The sequence below is a fragment of the Homo sapiens genome, chromosome 3, assembly GCF_000001405.40.
Source record: "Homo sapiens chromosome 3, GRCh38.p14 Primary Assembly".
Classification (NCBI taxonomy): Eukaryota; Metazoa; Chordata; class Mammalia; order Primates; family Hominidae; genus Homo; species Homo sapiens.
In genome coordinates this window covers 122,228,627-122,249,925 of record NC_000003.12, presented here as the reverse complement: position 1 = coordinate 122,249,925, position 21,299 = coordinate 122,228,627, and the positions used below count along the sequence as shown (strand labels likewise).

General features: G+C 41.3%; 1 protein-coding gene across 6 annotated transcripts in view, besides 1 other annotated feature; it reads right to left on the bottom strand.

The window, feature by feature from the left end:
• The window catches only part of CASR (calcium sensing receptor), a 107,962-nt gene that overhangs the window by 41,704 nt on the left and 44,959 nt on the right, over positions 1-21,299 (bottom strand). Inside the window, exons 1-2 of one of the 6 annotated variants that reach the window (XM_017007324.2) lie at positions 4,481-4,761; positions 1,685-3,480 (exon numbers count right to left, since the gene is read on the bottom strand). The exons of 4 other annotated variants lie outside the window; for them this stretch is intronic. The gene's annotated coding sequence lies outside the window, so the exon portion shown is untranslated. One more of the 6 variants, XM_017007325.2, reaches the window with a different exon arrangement.
• Positions 16,367-16,456: an enhancer, noted in NCBI's record as "active region_20365". NCBI's record gives its function as "activates an Ori minimal core promoter by ATAC-STARR-seq in GM12878 lymphoblastoid cells {active_cell/tissue: GM12878}" and the evidence as "EXISTENCE:reporter gene assay evidence [ECO:0000049][PMID:35858748]".

Genomic DNA, 21,299 nt, shown 5'->3' with positions numbered 1-21,299 from the left:
GAGCAGAACCTTAATATTGAACTATTCCTGGACTTTTGCCTGACAGAGAAAAAAGGCTTCTGGCTGGTTTAAACCACTGTTATTATATATATTTTTTCTTACTGTAGTTATCTCCAACAGTATCTAGCAAAGAATCACAAATAAACTCATTTGTTCTCCTTACTATACATTTATTCCATTTAAATCATATATAATCATGTTTGCCTTCCTGCAAATGAGTGTTACAAACAAAGCTGAAGCTAGTATTTGTTCTTTCTCTCAATGGCAGATACATCTTGGAAGAAGAAATGATCCGTGCACCAGGTGGTTTTATGTTTAGAAGGTTCTTGACATCAGGAGGAGTGTTTCAGTACGGACAGATAATGGCTTGTTAGGCTTTTCAGCCAAGGATCGGAGATGAGGGCAGACCAGTCAATGGGTTCCATGGGTTCATGAAGTTATAAATTCGTGCAATGATTTACTCATTCAAAAAACATTTATTGAGCTCTCTATGTGCTAGATACCAGGGAGTGCAAGACACTAGGGAAAGAAAGTTGAAATTTTTGCCTTCAAGGTGCTCAAGGTTTAAAAAGAGACAGAAAGGCGCATTATAAGGACGGTGATCTAAATGTTATAAAGAGGCATGGTTTAAGTGTTGAGGGAGCACAGAGCAAATAGTGATATTCTCTGGTGATTGCTGGGAAAGAGAATTAAGTCAAGGTGGGGACCAGAAACTTCATGAGGCCAAGGCCTGTCTCTTTTCTTCACCATTGTTGCCTAGCACCCAGCACAGCACCTGGCACAAATGATTCACAAATATTCGTTGAACAAATGTATGAAGTGTACACAGTAAAGACCAGAGGCTGGTTGGGCAATTCCTGGACAGGACAAGGAAGGGGTCACCCCACGAGACTGATGGTTCCTGTAGGCAGAGGCTTCTCCATGATCATAGCTGCATCCTCAGCATCAAACAAAGAACCTGGTACTAAATGGATGCTCTAAAAATGTCTGTTGAACTTGTTGTCCAAAGAGTAGCTACGTGGCTAATCCAAGTTCCGGAGTCAAAACAAGTTAACAGAGGATAGCAAAACAACGTCAGGAGTGAACACTGCCACATTTCAATTTTCTTCCAAATAAAAACCACCCCTACTCTCACCTCTTGGCCTCAACATTTCTGGAAATTGTGAATCTCTAGAGCAAAATGATTTTGCTCACATTTCAAATAGAGAAAACCCAGGCGCAGACCTTCTGAACATAAAATCACTCAGTAAATTAAAGGCACAGCAAGCTCAAAAGCTACTATTTTTGAATTCCTAGATGGCAAAAAAAAAAAAAAAATTCTAGGTTGCCTAGAAAAAAGAGAATTATAAGACCAAATTTGATTTCCAATAGAATTTATCTCCATAACGTGAGTACACTGCTATGTCTCTGGTTTATTGTACTGTAATCTTTACTCTCTTTCGTCACAATGATCATAAAGATACTAACAGTAGGGTCTGAAGCCACTATTGCAGAAAGGTGAAATGTGTATGTTTTAATGAGGGTGAACAGGAAAAATAAACCTGAAAAAGTTTAATCAATAATCACCAAACTCACGTGCCTGGCTGTAGTTGCAGCTTCCTTTACCTCTTGCTGAAGAGACATCCACAATATGGGTTTCTATACACAGCTGGTGCACATTTGCCAAAGAATTAGGGACTCTTACCTGCCATCACCAATACGGCCATCCCTAGTTCTATATCAGACTTCATTCCTTCTGTACCAAAGCAAGGCACATGTTGTTTTAAAATGAGGGCCCTCTTTCGGCACTGGGGGAAACACAAATTGCCCGGTCACCCTTGGCTGCCTCCCGCAAGCCCAAGCCCGGCTTCTGCTGTCTGCCTGCCAGCTGCACATGGTCTTGCCCTCCATCTCCCTGACAACAGGTGTGACTTTTGGGGAGTCCATGCCTCATTTAGTTCTGGTAATGGCTTAATTGAGTTGGAAAAATGCAAAGACAGGAGCGTAATGAAAAGCAGCTGAGCTGGGTGGGTTCTTGTGAGTCATTGGAAAAAGCTATCAGGGAAGGGAGGGAAAAGGATGAACAAGAGTGGTGAGGAGCAGCACAGGGCACAGAGCAAAGTGGGGAAACAGAAGCCTAGACAAAGCAAAGAAAGGCTGTAAATAGAGGAAGCTGACATTCATTAATGCTGCATCCTGAGCTCCTTGAAGACAGGGCCAGGTCTGTCCCATCCGCGGCCTGGAACATGGAGGGGCTCCATGATGATGGTTGAGTGGGTGCATACTTGTGTGTACTGCCGGCAACATAACAAACTCTGTGTCCACATAGGACTGAGTGAGTTGCTGGCGACATAGCCCACAGGAAGTTAAGAAACTTCTTGTCCTGAACTGTTTCCTTTATGCCTTAAGTCAGCTCTGCTGACGGATGTATGAACACCAACAGAGTTAATGAAATGGTTCATTTGAAAAGCGAAGATATGCAACTCATGTTTTTATAAAGAAAAATGCCAGAGCCTCAAGTCCTACATAAAAGAAACATTTCTGTGGAATAACATCCTGGCGTTGCCTCTCCAAATCATAAGGAACCCTGACTACCCAGGGTGGCATTTTTCAGTATGATGTCCCAAGATGTGTCACCAGGAAGTGTTCTGGGGTAAAACAAGTTTGGGAACTAATGTACACTCTGCCACAGGAGCACATATGCCTCCTTAAAGGCTCTGAGAAGTCCTGCAATAAAGATTATTGCTTATTTTGGTATGGGACACTTTTTTTCTTCCCTGAAGGACACTTTTCATGATGCCGTGAAACATGGGCTTGGAAGGGCTGACTGAGTGGAAAGCATAAAGTCTGTAATCTGAGATTCTCGCATTTGTTTAGGTGTATCTTTGAATGGGGAGATATGTCTGCCCCTCAATGGGCATAGCAGTTTTTGTAATCCCAGGTATGAAATTCCAAAGGGTATTATTGGAAAGAAGGACTCAGGTGGGGTGGGTGACTGCTGATGTAACTTTGAAGTCATTCTCTGGTCAGGCATATGTTTCTGTTCTCCGCTACTCCTGAGGGATGGGTTTCTATTGTACATAGAAAGTTGTACACTGAGCCTTTCCCCATCCACTTGCAACTCTCCTGACCTCACACAGTGTCTTTGTCTGAGGACCACTGGGGACATGTGGTGGTGTGCTTGTAGTCTGGCTTCTAAAAGAAAAACAAGACCTGACTTGTGGTGTATGCTAAATATTCCCACCATGGTCAGTTTCAAGCTACCAATGGTTTAACAACATATTTGTAAAAAATCTGAATATTTAACCATCGGCTCTCAAGCGCCGATAGAAGCCTGTTCTAGCACATCGTGGGGACATCTTTCTAAGCACATGGAAATTCTGGTTTTCTTTGGAAAACCTGGCCAAAATTATTTTATAGGCATTACAAATCTTCTCTCTTCTCCTGTTTCCTTCTTTGAGTGTTAGGAAGCTGTAAGCCAAGTTTGTGGCTCCGCTGTAGCTAAAATAGAAACCAAAAGCATGCATTTTAGTGTTCTAACATTACGTGTGCATTATTTTAAATTCTTGCACATATTTTACCCTGATTTCCTCAACACATTAAACCTTTCATTTTTATTAACAGCAACAGGGATATAAACACGAAAACAAACCAATAAATCTGGATTTTTGCTGTGAGCAATAAGAACTGTCCCCAGTTGAAACTCTCTGTGTAATTAACAGGAAAGGGTCTGGAAAAGTCATTCTTGCTTTATTAATTGAGTGGGTAGACACATCAGGTCATTAATCTAAAATACAGAATTTTAGAGATAGAAGGGACCTGGGAAGTTTATCTGGTTTACACTGAAACGTTCTGACACATGAACGTTTGAATCATTATGGCCAATGTTATCATGAACAGGAGCTGGAATTCACAAATCATTGTAAAACTATGTGAGGTTTAGTAATCAAAGGGCAAGCTTCTTCTTACTGAAAAGGGAAGTAATTTTTTCCCCCCGATTTGTCAGTGCACAGTTTGTCTTTAAAATGTCAGTTTAGGACTTCAGAGGACTAAACTTACTTTCAATTACAGCACAGAATCTATTTATTATGAGAATTCTTTTAGTTTTAATTGGACCGCAGGTGCACAAAATTGGATTAATCATAATCCTTTGTTGGTGATACATCCTCATTATTGGTCCAGACCTGGCCGACTTTTATTTCCTAAGTTATTTTTAATAATTAATCTACCACCTAAAACAAAAAACACCCATAGTAACCTACCGGTGGGTTCCTGTATTACATCCTGTTCTTGTGCCTCTTTTTTTTTTATTATTATACTTTAAGTTCTAGGGTACATTGGCACAACGTGCAGGTTTGTTACACATGTATACATGTGCCATGTTGGCACTAAAGAAGCCATTATCCTCAACCACATGCCTATCATTCCTTGCTTCTCTCCTCACCCCATCCTTTTAAAAACTTCATAAATCATAAGACAGAAAGACTGGTAGGATACACACCGAAATGTTAAGGATGATTAGATCTCATTGATGGAATTCTGGTTTCTTCCCTGTTTTATTTTTTGTTTCTGAAATTTAATAAAATAAACATGTACACTTGGTCCTCCATACATGTGGGTTCTGCAGCCATGGATTCAGTCAACTTCAGATTGAAAATATTTGGAAAAGATGAATGGCTGTATCCGTACTGAACATGTACAGACTTCTTTTCTTGTCATTAGTCCCTAGACAATAGAGTATAACAAGTATTTATGGAGCATTCACGTTATATTAGATATTGTAAGTAATCTAGAGATAATTTAAAATATACAGGAGGATGCGGATAAGTTATAGGCAAATACTATGCCATTTTATATAAGAGACTTGAGCATCTGCAGATTTTGGTATCTGAGGGGGTCCTGAACCAATCCTCCATAGATACACACAGACAAGTACATTACTTTTAAACCAGAAAATATGTGGTAGAATGTTATTAAAACAATGGCTATATGAAGGGACATAAACGTTAAACATGAAAAACATTGCAAAAAAGATTTTACTTAGATTTTACCACCTATTCATACTGTATATCCTTTGAAATATATTTTGAAAACTATGCTTATTGATACTTCTTATCTTCCATCCTATTTGTTATTATCTATTTTTACTCCCTTATCTTTATCTCCCTTATCTTTCTCTCACTCTTAAAATAAAATTTTAATTGAAGCATGATAGACATCAGATATGCACAAATCATACAAGAATTTCCACAATGTAAACATTCATGTAACCAGCATCCAAATCAAAAAACAGAACCAGAACTCCGGAGCCCCCACTCATGCCTCCCTAGAGTCATTACCTTCCCCAAAGATGGCCAGTACTCTGACTTCTACCATCAAAGATGGGATTTTCCTGTTTTTGAACTTTATATAAGTAGAATTATGTAGTATCTGGCTTCTTTTGTCCAACATACTTGCAAGATTCATCTATATTGTATGTAACCATAGTTTGTTTTTTCTCATTATTGTATAGTATTTTCCTATGATTCTACCACACGTTACCTATCCATTCTCCTGCTAATGAACGCTTTGGGGTTTTAATGAACAGTGCTGCTATGAACTTTCTTTTATTAATTTTTAATTTTTGTGGGTACACAGCAGGTATATATATTTCTGGGGTACCTGAGATATTTTGATAAAGGCATGTAATTTGTAATAGTTACATCATGGTAAATGGGGTATCCATCCCCTCAAGCATTTATCTTTTGTGTTACAAACAATCCAATTATTTTCTTTTAGTTATTTAAAAATGTATAATTAAATTATTATTGACTATAGTCATCCCATTATACTATCAAATACTAGGTCTTATTCATTCTTTCTAACTACTTTTTGTACCCATTAACCACCCCTGCTTCCTCCCCACTCCCCGACTACCCTCTCCAGCCTCTGGTAACCATCTTTCTACTCTCAATGTTCATGAGTTCAATTGTTTTAATTTTTAGCTCTCACAAATAAGTTAGAACATGCAAAGTCCATCTTCGTGGCTTACTTCACTTAACATAATGATCTCCAGTTCCATTCATGTTGCTGCAAATGACAGGATCTCATTTTTTTTTTTATGATGGAATAGTACTCCATTGTGTTTATGTAACACATTTTTTGTATCCATTCATCTTTCGATGGACACTTAGGTTGCATCCAAATCTTGGCTTTTGTGAATACTGCTGCAACAAACATGAAAGTGCAGATATCCCTTTGATATACTGATTTCCTTTCTTTGGGGTATATATACCTAGCAGTGGGATTACTGGATTGTATGGTAGCTCTATTTTTAGTTTTTTGAGGGGCCTCCAAACAGTTCTGCATAGTGGTTGTAGTGATTTTTATTCCCACCAACAGCGTATGAGAGTTCCCTTTTCTTCACATCCTTGCCAGCATTCATTATTGCCCGTCTTTTGGATAAAAGCCATTTTAACTGGGGTGAGATGATATCTCACTGTAGTTTTGATTTGCATTACTTTGATGATCAGTGATGTTGAGCACCTTTTCATATTCCTGTTTCATACTCATATGTCTTCTTTTGAGAAAGGTCTATTCAGATCTTTTACCCATTTTAAATCGGATTATTAGATGTTTTTCCTATAGAGCTGTTAGAGCTTGTAATATTCTGGTTATTAATCCCTTGTCAGATGGCTAGTTTGCGAATATTTTCTCACATTCTGTGGGTTGTCTCTTCACTTTGTTGATTGTTTCTTTTGCTGTGCAGAAGGTTTTTAACTGGATGTGGTCCCATTTATCCAGTTTTGCTTTGGCTGCCTGTGCTTCTGGAGTGTTACTCAAGAAATTTTTGCCCACTACAATGTTCTGGAGAGCTTCCCCAGTGTTTTTGTTTAGTAGTTTCATAGTTTGAGGTCTTATATTTAAGTATCTAATCCATTTTGATTTGATTTTTGTATATGGTGAGAGACAGAGGTCTAGTTTCATTCTTCTGCATTTGGATATCCAATTTTCTCAGCACCATTTATTGAAGAGACAGTCTTTTCTCCAATGCATGTTCTTGGCACCTTTGTCAAAAACAAGTTCACTGTAGGTGTGTGGATTTGCTTCTGGGTTCTCTATTCTGTTCCACTGAGCTATGTGTCTGTTGTTATTCCAGTACCACGCTGTTTTGGTTGCCATACTTCTGTAGCATAATATGAAAGTCGATAATGTGATTCCTCTGGTTTATTCTTTTTGCTAAGCATAGCTTTGGCTATTCTGGGTCTTTTGTGGTTCCATATAAATTTTAGGATTGTTTTTTCTATTTCTGTGAAGAATGTTATTGGTATTTTGATAGGAGTTGCCTTAAATCTTTTATTGCTTTGGGCAGTATGAACATTTTAACAATACTGATTCTTCCAATCCATGAATATGGAATATATTTCCTTTTTTGTGTCCTCTGCAATTTCTTTCATCAGTGTTTTATAGTTTTCATTGTAGAGATCTTTCACTTCTTTGATTAATTCCTAAGTATTTAATTTTACTTGTGACTATTATACGTGGGACTACTTTTTTGATTTATTTTTTAAGTTGTTCACTGTTGGCATATAGAAATGCTACTAGTTTTTGTATGTTGATTTTGTATCCTGCAACTTTACTGAATTTGTTTATTGATTCTAATAGTTTTTTTGGTGGAGTCTATAGGTTTTTCTAAATATAAGATCATATCTTCTGCAAACAAGGATAATTTGGCTTCTTTCTTTCTAATGTGGATGACCTTTCTTTCTTTCTCTTGTCTGATTGCTCTAGCTAGGAACTCCGGTACTATGTTAATAACAGTGGTGAAAGTGGGCATCCTTGTCCTCTTCCAGATCTTAGAGGAAAGGCTTCCAGATTTTTTTCACAATCTGTATGATACTAGCTGTGGGTTTGTTTTATATGGCTTTTATTATGTTGAATTACGTCCATGTATGCCCAGGTTTTTGAGGGCTTTTATCATAAAGTGATGTTGAACTTTATCCAATGCTTTTTCAGTGTCAATTGAAAACGATTATATGATTTTTGTCCTTCGTTCTGTTGTTATGATGTATCACACTGATTGATTTGTGTATGTTGAACTATCCTTGCGTCCACAGGATAGATCCCACTTGGTCATGATGAATGATATTTTTAATGTATTGTTGAATTTGGTTTGTCAGTATTTTTTAAAGGATTTTTGCATCAATATTCATCAGAGATGTTGGCCTGTAGTTTTCTTTTTTTTGTGTGTGTGTCTTTGTCTGGTTTTGGTATCAGGGTACTACTGGCCTCATACAATGAGTTTGGAAGTATTCCTTCCTCCTCTGTTTTTTGGAATAGTTTGAGTAGGATTGGTATTCATTCTTCTTTAAATGTTTGGTAGAATTCAGCAGTAAAGCCATTGGGTCCCAGTGTTTACTAGGAGACTTTTTATTGTGACTTTGTTTTCATTACTTTTTATTGGTCTGTTCAGGTTCTGGATTTCCTGTTGGTTCACTCTTGGTAGGTTGTATGTTTCAATTAATTTATCTATTTCTTATAAGTTTTCCAATTTATTGGCATATATTTGCTCACAGTAGCCTCTAATGTTCCTTTGAATTTCTGTGGTATCAGTTGTAATGTCTCCTTTTTCATCTCTGATTTTATTTATTTGGGTCTTCTCTCATTTTTTCCTAGTCTGGCTAAAGGTTTGTCAATTTTATTTGTTTTTTCAAAACACCCGCTTTTCATTTAATTGATCTTTTTTATTGTTTTATTCATTTCAATTTCATTTATTTCTGCTCTGATCTTTATTATTTCTTTTCTTCTACTAATTTTGAGTTTGGTTTGCTCTTGCTTTTCTAGTTCTTTAAGATGCATCATTAGGTTATTTATTGCAAGTTTTTCTTCTTTTTTGATGTAGGCACTTGTATCTTTCAATTTTCCTGTGAGTACTGCTTTCACTATATTGCATAGGTTTTGGTATGTTATGTTTCTATTATCATTTGCTTCAAGAGATTTTTAAATTTCCTTCTTAATTTTTTCACTGACCCACTGGTCATTCAAGAACATGTTGTTTAAATTCCATGTGATTGTATAGTTTCCAAACTTCCTCTTGTTATTGATTTCTAGTTTTATTTCATTGTGGTCAAAGACAATGCTTGATATTATTTCAATTTTTTGAATGCCTTAAGACTTGTTTTGTGACCCAACATACGGTTTATACTTGAGAATGATCCACATGCTGAGGAGAAGAATGTGTATTCTGTAGCTGTTAGATGAAACGTTCTGTAAATATCTATTAGGTCCATTTGTTTCATACTGCAGATTAAGTCTGATGTTTCTTTGCTGACTTTCTGTCTGGAAGATCAGTCCAATGCTGAAAGTGGGGTGTTGAAGTCTGTAGCTATTATTGTACTGTGGTCTCTTTCTTTAGCTCTAATAATATTTGATTTGTATATCTGGGTGCTCCAGTGTTGGCTGCATATATATTTAAAATTGTTATACCCTCTTTCTGAATTGATCCCTTTATCATTATATAACGACCTTCTTCATCTCTTCTTACAATTTTTGTCTTGAAATCATTTCATGTGATATAAGTATAGCTAGTCCTGCTCTATTATTTTGGTTTCCATTGGCATGGAATATCTTTTTCCATCCCTTTATTTTCAGCCTATGTGTACCTTTATAGGTGAAATGTGTTTCTTATAGGCAACAGATCATTGGGTCTTGTTTCTTCAGCACTTTAAACATGTCATGGCACTCTCTCCTGGCTTATAAGGTTTCCACTGAAAAGTCTGCTGCCAGACATATTGGAACTCTGTTGTATGTTATATGCTTCTTTCCTGTTGCTCTTTTAGTATCCTTTTTTATCCTTGACTTTCAGGAGTTTGATTAGTAAATGCCTTGAGGTAGTCTTCTTTGGGTTAAATTTGCTTGATGTTCTATTACCTTCTTGTTCTTGAATGCTGATATCTTTCTCTAGGCTTGGGAAGTTCTCTGATATTATCCCTTTGAATAAACTTTCTACCCCTATCTATTTCTCTACCTGTTTTTTAAGACCAGTAACTCTTAGATTTGTCCCTTTGAGGGCATTCTCTTGATCTTCTAGGTGTGCTTCATTCTTTTTTGTTCTTTTTTCTTTTGTCTCCTCTGACTGTGTATTTCCAAATAGGGGTCTTGGATAAGACCCAGAAGAATTCTCTATAGTACCAGACAGAGACTCTTGTTCTCCTCCTTACTTCCTCCAAAACAAACACAGCCTTTCTTTCTGTGCTGAGGTTCCTGGAGCTGGAGGTGCGGTGACACAAGCTTCCCTGTGGCCACTACCACTGGGACTGTTCTGGGTTAGGCCTGAAGCCGTCACAGCACTGGGTCTTGCCCCAGGCCTGCTGTAACCACTACCTGGCTACCATCTATGTTCTACCTCAGTGCCCTAGGGCTCTGCCATCAGCAGTGAAGAAGCCAACCAGGCTTGTGTTCTTCCCTTAAGGGCAGTGAGTTCCCCCAGGCGTTGGGTGGGTCCAGAGACACAGTTGGGAGCCAGGATTTGAGCCAACAACCTTAGAAATCTACCTGGCATTCTATTCTACTGCATCTAAGCTGGCCCTTAAACCACAAGACAAAGTCCTTCTCACTGTTCCCTCACCTTTCCACAGGCAGAGGAGCCCCTCCTGGTGGCCACCACCACCACTAGCTCAGGGGGAGTTCTGCCTGGCCACTGCAGATGTTCATTTAAAGCCCAGGGGCACCTCAGGTTGTGGTGAATGCTGCCAGGCTTGGGACTCACCCTTCAAGGCAATGGGCTCCCCTCTGGCCCATGGCAGGTCCAGAAATGCTGTCTAGGAGCCTACACCTGGGCTCGGGACCCAAGAGCCCGCTTGGTGCTCCACACCCTTGTGGCTGAACTGGTACCTAAGGTACCAGCAAGAAAATATCCCCTTTACTTTTCTCAAGCAGAAGGAATCTTTTGCCATTGCCACCCCAGCTGGGAAGGTAGTAAGTCACACCTGAAACCAGCATGTCTGAGTCTCACCCAAAGCCCATGGCACACTACCTGGGTATCACCGTTGGTTATTCAGGGCCCAAGAGCTCTTTAGTCAGCAGGTGATATATTCTGTCAGGACTAGCTCATTCCTTTCAAGGCAGTGAGTTCCCTTCTGGCCCAGGGCATGTCTAGAAATGTTGTCAAGGAACTAGGGCCTGGAATGGAGGCCTTATGACTCTGCCTGGTGCTCTATCCTACCTTGGCTGAGCTGGTATCCAAGGTGCAAGACAAAGTCTTCTTTACTCTTTGCTCTTCTCTCCTTAAGCAGAAGGAAGGAGTCACTTTAGTTGCTGTGAGCTGTGTTACCTGGGGTTGGGAGATGGGTAGAACAAGCACTCCCTTAGCCACCCTGGCTGGTGTCTCCCTAGGTCACCTGCTGCTCTAGTCCACTGGCTCTAGTGTTAAGCCTAGCCCAGCACTAGGAATTGCTTAGTTAGGAATTACAGTCCTTTTGTCCTAGACTGCTTTTCAAGCTTATGTAAGACCCCAGAGCACTTTAACACGTGGTGGTGAGGCTTGCAGAAACTCAAGTTCCGACTGCTTAGGTGGGTGATTCCCCTCTTGCTAGGGCTGGTCCAAATGCTCCCTCCTCCTCAGCGAATGCCAGCTGAGCCCAGCACAGCTTTTCTCTCTGCTGTGACAGGTCAGCACTGAGTTCAGTGCCAAGTGGCCCAGTCGCTGTGCTCTCCTTCCCCAAAATGCACAGATTTTCTCTTGCACCACACGGCCACTGCTGGGGGGATAGGGGAGGGGTGGTATCAGCGATTCAAGGCTGTCTTTCCTACCCTCCTCAGTGCCTCTTTGAGCAATATGAAATTAGCACCGGGTGCTGTGACTGTTCACCTGATTTTTACTTCTTTTGATGGTGCTTTTTTGTGTAGTTAGTTGTTAAAATGTGGTGTTCCTGCAGGGGGGAGCCATCAGTGGAGGCTTCTGTTCAGATATCTTGCTCCACCCTCAGCTATAAGCTTTCTTAAACATGCCTTTTTGTGAATGTATGTTGAATATATACCTAGAAGTGGAGTTGCTACATCATAGAATTTGTGTATCTTTAGTTTTAGTAGATACTACCAAAAAGTTTTCCAAAGTGTTGTACCAATTTATCTTCCCACTGCACTCTATGAGAGTTCTATCACTCCATGTCCTTGTCCACCCTTGGTACTGCCAGTCTTTTTCATTGTGGTCATTGCTTGTCTTCCTTTTATATGATTATATTGTATCTACCTATGTTCCCAAAATGTATTTAAAATTTTAGTTGTTTTAAGCTTCATAAAAGGGTATCATACTATATGTAATCTTCTGAGTTTCTTTCACTTAATATCGTATTAATAAAATTCATCTATATTGTTGTACTTTACTATAATCCATGATTTTAACTGCGGTATAATATTCCACTGCGTGAATATGTCACAATTTATTCATTCATTTTCCCATTGGTGGGCATTTGGACTTTTTCAATAGTATGGCAATTCTTTCAATTGGCTTTGAGATTGTGCAGGAACCAAGGAAGAGCTCTGTGGAATTTTAAAGACACTTCGGCCAGGTGTGGTGGCTCATGCCTATAATCCCAAGGTGGGAGGCTGAGGTGGGTGGATCATGAGGTCAGGAGATTGAGACTATCCTGGCCAACATGATGAAACTCCATGTCTACTAAAAATACAAAAATTAGTCGGGCGTGGTGGTGCACTCCTGTAATCCCAGCTACTTGGGAGGCTGAGGCAGAAGAATCGCTTGAACCCGGGTGGTGGAGGTTGCAGTGAGCCAAGATCACACCACTGCACTCCAGCTTGGTGACAGAGCAAGACTCTGTCAAAAAAAAAAAAAAAAAAGCATAAGTACTGTTAGCTACAATTAGCATCTCTACAAATTTCCAGGCCCAAAATAACAAGCCTCCAGTGTTTCATTACCCCATTTTAAAGAAGATTTTACCTCACAGTTAACTAAAATCACATCTATTTTAAAATTAAGGCCATTTATTCTTGCCTAATTTACCACTGCAATGAAAGGCCAGAGACAAAAATTTTCATTAATTTAAAGATAGAATCACCTTCACTTTTTTTTCAGGCTTAACTATCCAAATTTCTTTCAAACCTTTCTGCTTAGGACTACTTCATATTTTTCTAGATATATTTGTTAATATGCCAAGAACCTATTCTAAGTTCTTCATGTCATTTTTTAGAGCATGTTAACAGAAATTGGTACCATGATTTGGGGCTGACCTGAGGTTAAAAGAATTTGCGTCCCACTGGAGATTTCAAGATGTGTTTGTTAGCTTTTGTCCATAACTCCACAATTTGGCTGACTCATGTCCATATTCTGGCCTTCTAGGGCCTCCTTGATTTCCTAATATACATTTGCTTGAGTAGTCCCTTCAGAACCTATATCTGTTTTTTTAATCCCCAAATATCTCAGATTGAAAATGTTCAAACTGAATTTTATTTTTGAAGAACTATGCCTCCCCACTAAATTCATTATGAATTTTGTTCCCATTTTTGAAGGAACATGTCTCCCTGTCAGGAAATGTCAGGAAATATGTGTTGATTTATTAGCTGGCCCCTTCAGCTTTGCCCGGAAGAATCATGAACCAGCATTTAAAGAATGAATTTTGGAACATGCTACATTCAGTTGCCTCTATGAGAAGATTCTCCATTGCTAAGGACACCTGAAGCTGTTCTGGAGGAAGACTGTCTGGAATAAACTTTCCCCAAATAAGCCCATGGATGTTTCTAACCCTGACTTTGATGCTGGGTCAGCCAATATATCCTCACACATGGTGGAAACCCATTCAATTGATTTCTTTTAATGTGGTAACCCTCAGAAAGAAACTTCTTGTTACTGTAAAAAGAGCCTCCTATCTGTTGGGCATGGGGCCGGGTGCAGGGAAGTGAGTCTTAAATTGTGGTCCTTGGACGAGCATCAGCACCATCACTTGGGAACTTGTTAGAAACACGAATCCCATCCCAACCTACTGAATCAGAAACTCTGGGTGTGGGACCAGCAACCTGTGTTTTAAGAAGTTTGAAAGCCATTGCTAGACCGTCTTTCATATGCATCTGTCCAGGGTCATATTCTGTTCTGAGCTCTAAAAATTGTGTTTCCTAAAAATGATTGTTTAAATGTAATTTTATTTATGTATTATCATTTTTAGAGACATGGTCTCACTATGTTGCCCAGGTTGGAGTGCAGTGCCATGATCATAGCTCACCGCAGTCTAGAACTCCTGGGCTCGTGATCCTCCTGCCTCAGATTCCTGAGTAACTAAAACTATAGGAACATGCCACTACCCCAGGCTATTTTTTAAAAAATTTTGTAGAGACAGGACCTTGCTGTATTGCCCAGGATTCTTCTGATACTATTACTTTTCTCCAAGGATAACACAGCCAAACAAAAATGTATTTTGAATGGATACACAACAGTTTCCTGTCAATGTCAATTCATTCTTCGGTTTCCCTGAAACCTTTCTCCTGCAAAATAACTGCTAACATCTTATGAAACCAGTATTCCAGGAAAGCACAGTTCAGAAGTCATTGCTGTAAAGTTAGGGTAACTTTCTGAATCTATAATCAATATGCATGGTCTGTGAACTAGAGAAAATGGCCACTAACCATAGATAGACTACTTCTCACCCTCTCTTCCCAGCCACATGCAGGGGATTTACCTATGTGGTTATCATTTGCGTCTACCTTTCCGAGCAGAGTCTTGGGTGCTCTACTTTACACTTAAGTCTTTCATTATTAATTCCCTTTTTAAATTTGTGGAATGAGTATATATTCTTCACAATCAATCCATCAGTCCCAGATGGGAAGGTCTGGGACCCTGTTTACCTGCAACTGTTAGAAGTCACAGCACCTGTGACTGTTAGAAGTGTCCAGCACTCCCTGGTCCTTCTCTACTCTCCTGCGAGCCCTTTCTATGAGCTCTTCAGGGGCTCTTTCTTTGGGAACTGAAATGGTCCTAAACATTCCACAATCTGTGCTGATGCAGTGCACTCTCAGTGTCTCTCTGCCTTCTTCGGCTTTGCCCAGAAGAATCAGGAACCAGCATTTAAAAAATAAATCCTGGAACATACTACATTCAGTTGTCTCTATGAGAAGATTCTCTGTTGCTAATGACACCCGAAGCTGGTCCGGAGGAACACTGTCTCAGATAAACTTTCCCCAAAGAAGCCCACACATGTTTCTATAAACCTGACTTTGAAGTTGGATTAGTCCACATAGCCTGAGCCTCAGTGAGTGACTCCTGTCCAGCTGGTCAGGGTAAGAGATGACTAGGGTCAGCCTGCTATACAGAGGCCTTACAAATAACTCTTTCCACTCTGATTCTTCCATTACTTATTTGAAATAACTAAATTCCATTTGAAATAAATAAAATTCCATCCTCTCATGTTTGCTTTCTTCTTTCTTCTCTCCCTCTTTTTCCTCCATCCTCCAGCAGTTTCCAAACTGATTTTAAACCTCTCAATCTGTCTAATGAGAAGTAAGCTCTTTAGAAAGTAATGGGCAAAGGTTATTATTCCTCTTCTTATTCAGCTGTGCCCACGTGTTGGTTACATTACACCAGGGGCCAGCCAACTACATTCCATGGGCCAAATCTGGTGTGCTTGTTTTTATAAATAAAGTTTTGCTGAAATACAGTCATGCCTAATCACTTGCATTATATCTATGGTTGCTTTTGTGCTGCAAGGGTAGATTTGAGTAGTTATGCCAAAGATTGGCCCACAAAGCTTGGAATAGTTAATATTTGGCCTTTTACTGAAAAAGTTGATTGACCTCTTCATGAAACTAAGCACAAAGAAAACCCTACTTTTGCCATGAACTGGACATTTCCATGACTTTGGAAACAGTTATGCGCCTGATGTGAGCAATGGCTTCTCCAAGTTGAAAGGAGCTGACTTCACCAGCTTTCTCAATCAGAGGAGTAAGGGTCCTCTAGTTTGTTTTGTGTCCAGAGATAGAGGTCACTTCTTTCCCTTGGTTATCATCTGACTCAGGAGGCACCAGGAGTCTGGTTTGTTTACCACTGGCTCACATGAATAGAGTAGGTTGTGTGGTGGGGACTCCCCCCAGTGAAAAACTTTTAGCTAAGGGTGGGAAGTCCAAGCTGTGAATCTGAATCAGCAGCAGCAACAATTTTTGTTCCCCTTAGATACTGTCAAATGGGTCAGTTCCACCGGGAGCTGGTTACCTTCCTGTGAAGATGGCTTTAAGGGGAGGTGGTGGCGTTTGGTTGGGAAACAGAAATACCACAACCGCCCAAGTAGCCCATGCGTAATCTGGGTGGGGCATAGACATAAAAGGAGGAAGCCCAGACTTCAAGTGAGAGAAGAAACATTCGCTCTGGAGACAGTTTTAATTCCGTTCCCACATCATCAGGTGGACAAAATTCCCCTGTGAAGTCGCCCTCTTGCATTTCTCTTCCTCATTTTCTCCTCCGCTACTTCCCAGCTCTACTCCCCAACACCCTGAGGCCCAGAGCAGGGTACCTGTGGTGAGATTAGAGAAGAGCAGGGAAGGGGACTGATGTCAACTCCATCCAGCCAAAGACCCCCAGGACTGGGCTGGAACTGGTGAGACAAGAGAGACACCAGGAGAGCAAAGTGTAGGGTGGCATTGCTTCTCATGGCCAGCCCTGCACTTGCATGAGGAACACCCTGTGCTTGGACAGGACATAGCAGAGAAGGAGAACGGTGGGGTGTCTCACCGACAGGGTGTTAGAAAGGACTTACAGGAGTGCGGTTTGTGGTAGGCGATTTTGGGGACGGTTTAAGGAAGTGGAGCTTTGCATGCTGTCAGAAGCAGGGGTAAATTCTATGATTCCATATCTTAATAAATCTTGTCTAGAAGGGAGGAAGACTAAGTGAGACTGAAGCTGTAAGGGTAAAGGAGTAGCAGTCACTCCTCCGAGCCAGAATAGGGAAATGTTTGGTTAGTTCCATGGTTTGGACAATGTTAACGTTTTTTGTCTGTGTTCAGACATGATTGTGGAGTGGTCTTATTTTTGTCTTTATCATGGTCACAGAGACATCTTGCTTGCTGTTGATGTTCTGTGAAGTTGTTTATGTTTAACAGGAGAACGCCAAGGCCTAGCTTATGGGACCACCCAGATCCAGGTTGTCAGGGGCCACTTTTCTCTTTCTCAGCAATCACTTCACTTTCTTTGAAGTCACAATATCACAGGATGGTAGAGTCAGAAAGGGCTTTCGAGATCATCTAATTGAAGACTCTCACCTTGAAGATAAGGAAATGGAACATGTGAGCTGTTACCTGCCTTGCCAACAGCCCACAGCCAGTTAGCATCCCACCTGGCGATTCCTGGGCCCTGCATACACTGGCCCTGCCTCCTCTCCGGCTGCATCTCCCACACCACTCTCCCTCTCTTGGCACCTAGCCTGCCCTCCCTTCAGTTCCTCCAGTGGGCCAAGTTCTTTATTGCCTTGGGCCCTTCCCATCCCTCTCAGAATGCTCTTCCACCCCTCTGACCTGTGCCTCTTGCTTAATTCATTTCTCTTCATCCATCAGGGATGAGGCATTCTTCAGGGATCCTTCAGTGGCTCAAACACCACTTCTCAAGGAAGCCCCTCCTGGTTCTCCAGGCCTCACTCTCGTGCTCTCTGCATCTGCGTGGCACTTCCCTGCCACAGTCCCTCTTGCTCTTTATGCAGCCAGGGACCTGGTCTGTCTTGTTCATTGCTGGCATACTCAGGACACAGCAGACACTTAATGAATGGCTGCTTCACTTCAAGCCCTGTGGAGGTTCTATCACTAGAATTCTTTTTATAGTACAATAAAAAAAAGGGATTGTGAATCTTTTCTTGGGGTTGCAATATAAACTTACAGTCCAGTTGCAAGGAAAGAATACAACAAGCTGAAGTAAAACTGCTGAGGTGTTGCAAGTAGCTGGAGGGTGAATCTGATGATCCCATCCCCACGTCGTCCTTCCTGCGATGGCTATCTGGACATGCGGGTGTGCTGGAAAGGCCAGTGCACAGCCAGGAGCCCTTCACACCCCTGAATCACAGAGAGGTCTTTGGCTCAGGGGTGACTGTAATCTGAATCTGCCTATCGGTACTGCTCAAGCCCGTCGGTATTTACAATGTTAGAAGAGAATGCAAGGTAAATTGTTTAGTGTGAAAAAGGCTATAAAATGAGATAGTCCTGAGAGTTCTTTGATTTTTTTTTTTTTTGTGAGTGGGAGGGGGGTAATGGGTGTCTTTGAGATGCTGATGAAAATTGTGGCTGCTCTTTCCAGAAAAATGCACATATGCACATAATTTCTTCCAATTCAGATGTTTCATGTACCAGAAAGGCAAGGTTAAGTGACTAGCACGAGATTACAGAGAGATAGAGAAAGAATGGAAGATGAGTTTCCTTATTCCCCATTTAGTAACCTTTTCCTTATGTGCCTCTGTCTCCTCATTGTCCACACAGGAATAACAATAGTACGGTTGCTGTAAGGATTATATTAAAACAATACTTGTAAGAATTTAGCATAAAGTCTACCACATAGTAAATGCTCAAAAAACATTAGCTCTTCGTATGATGGTGATAGTGTCCCCCTCTCTCTTCCCAAACAGTGCCTTTACTAATTGAATTGATCAGCATGATGACTTGCCACCTCCTGACCAGTCCTAGAATGCCTAGTTTAGCCCACTCGTGGGATGGCCACCTTCAAACAGCAAGTGTATGATGCTGAGACAGGACTGGGGCAGAAAGTCAGGTAAGCCACCCAACAGGTGGGCCAGAGGAATGGTGTCCTCTGAGACTGGTTAGCATCCTGTCTGCATGGTGGATGGGATTAGCTGCAGGACACACTTCTCACTTCTACAAGGGGATCATGATCATGACACTTTCTGATGTCTCTAAAGTGACTGCAGGTGGATGATGACCCTCAAAAAGCTGCAAAAATTCTGAGTGGATGGTAAGCAGAACACACAAGAAGATCCTTAGGGGACAGATGAGTTTCAGGTGTCAAATGCACAAATCCCTGATTCTTTAAGTATCAATCCGATAGGTCAATACAAATATTTGGAAGCAGGTTTGCAAAGAAACTAAAAAAAGAGAAACCCCCTTTGGCTGAAGAAGTCTAGTGGAGGGGACAGAGAAGTAGAAGGGGCCAGGATATGGTGGTTCTAGTCCCCACCTAGCTGCTCCTCCTTGGGACAGCTGCTTCCTTCTCTGGGCTTTGGTGTCTTCTCTTGTAAGATGACCAAGTGGTATCACGGGCTTGGTGGGTCCCAGGAAGCCCCTTCTATGCAGGTGGAACCTCAGTGGAAGAGACTGGATTTGGAAGTGGGCTCTCTTCCTGGTTCCTTTCCAAGTCCTGCTCAGGTGAGAGGGTCTTCCTCCTCCCTCCCATCCCACCTCCCACCTACAGAGATGGGTTCAGCCGCTGCCCTGTTGCAGGGGGTGGGGGATGGTGGCGCAGAGAGGGGAAGCCCCTCAGGGAAGGAGGTTGCTTTCTCCACGGTCAGCAGCATCCCCGCCCCCGCTGCTCCTGCGTCCCTCTCACGCCCGCATCCGCTGCAGGCCAGGCTGTGCTGGAGCAGAAAGATCTAGGCTCGATTTTCACCCCGGATGTGGCGGCAGCGTCAGCAAGGAGGAGAGGTTGTTTTGTAATGCGTGGCGCTAAAGGAGCGTTTTCCCTGGACTTGGGTTCTGGCCCTCACCGCGAGGCGTCATCGCTGCCTTTGCTTTACTGGTCCATGCGAGTGACTCCTTCAAACAGCTGCCGGCAAGCCTAGGCTGAGCTTGCAGGATCTCGTCCCAATGTCCCAGACTCTACCAGGGGTTATTGATAACTTAAGACCAGAAACACCAGAAACATTTCTGAGCAGAATGAATACATGATTAGAATCCAATACTGTAATGCCGGGGCCAAGAAGGCATCTCAGAATATGTTTAGTACAAATCTTCCATTTTACAAATAGGTAAACTGTGGCTCAGAAACAGGAAGCAGCTTGCCAAGTCACAGGCCACACACTAGCAGTGTTAGCAGTAGAACAGAAATGTACAGTCTCTCATTATTTCATAGTTTACTTGGTTAGGAATGGGAGGCTTCCTTTTTTATTTATTTATTTAAAACAGAGTCTCACTCTGTTGCCCACCCAGGCTAGAATGCAGTGGCACAATCTTGGCTCACTGTGGCTTCCACCTCCCAGGTTCAAGCAATTCTCCTGCCTCAGCCTCCCGAGTAGCTGAGATTACAGGTGTGTGCCACCATGCCCAGCTAATTTTTGTATTTTTAGTAGAGGTGGGGTTTCACCATGTTGGCCAGGCTGGTCTCGAACTTCTGGCTTCAAGTGATCCACCTGCCTTGGCCTCTCAAAATGCTGGGATTACAGGTGTCAGCCACCATGCTTGGCTGAGGCTTCTTACTTCTAATTTTTAGTGTGCAAACTTTTAACACAGTAAACTAAACCACATTGGAAAGATGCATTTTATTGGAACATTAAGATATGGCCAAATTATGCAGAATTTTAAATTTGGAAAGGATATTAGAAGTCATCTAACTCACTTCATTTGTTCATGACTGTTTAGAGGCAGAGAAGGGTATAGACTTCTGTGGGCTCTGCCCACTGCCATGACTGTTATGAAATAAACTCACCTAAATAGAAATGCAAATGAACACTACACACTCTGGTAGGAAAGTAGAGAATTTTGCTACAAGAAGAGTGGCCTGATTTTGAGGGTGGGTGGAGGTGGGTGGGAAGTGTATAGACGTTGGTAAAAAGTGTTTAGCAGATTTAAACAATGTATATATTTTATTTAAGACTGTTTACAATAAAATATATACTTAGTCCAGAGTATTCATGTTGTGGGATTACTACATCTTAAGTTTAATCAGGGAGTTTTCCATCTTGAAGTGACTTAACGGCACATAGGCAAGGCTATGTAAATCAACTGTTGTAACCCTAAGAATCTGAGCATCAGATCATTTATAATAAGATGGTAAATACATGATTGAGAAGTCCTGAAAGGATAAATCAGTGAATATCTGAGGGATGCATTTGAGAAGAGTGGGGCATTGAGATGGTAGGTGTGGACAGGCAAAGGAGAGGGTCAGGTGTCATGGTGTGGAGGAGAGGATGGTGGAGTCTCAGGGGTAGTGGCACAGCGGTGGTTCTGGGCCCTTCTCAGCTTCCCCTTTCAACATGGTAGCTGTGAGCATGGATTCAGTTCAGCTCTTACAGCAAATGTAATGGGGGATAAGCCTTACCTCACAGGGTTGTTGTACTAACACATGTAAGTGTGTGGCATGTCAGCCATCAATAAACATATGCACCTCCTGTCCTGTTCAGCCCCTTCTACTCTTCTAA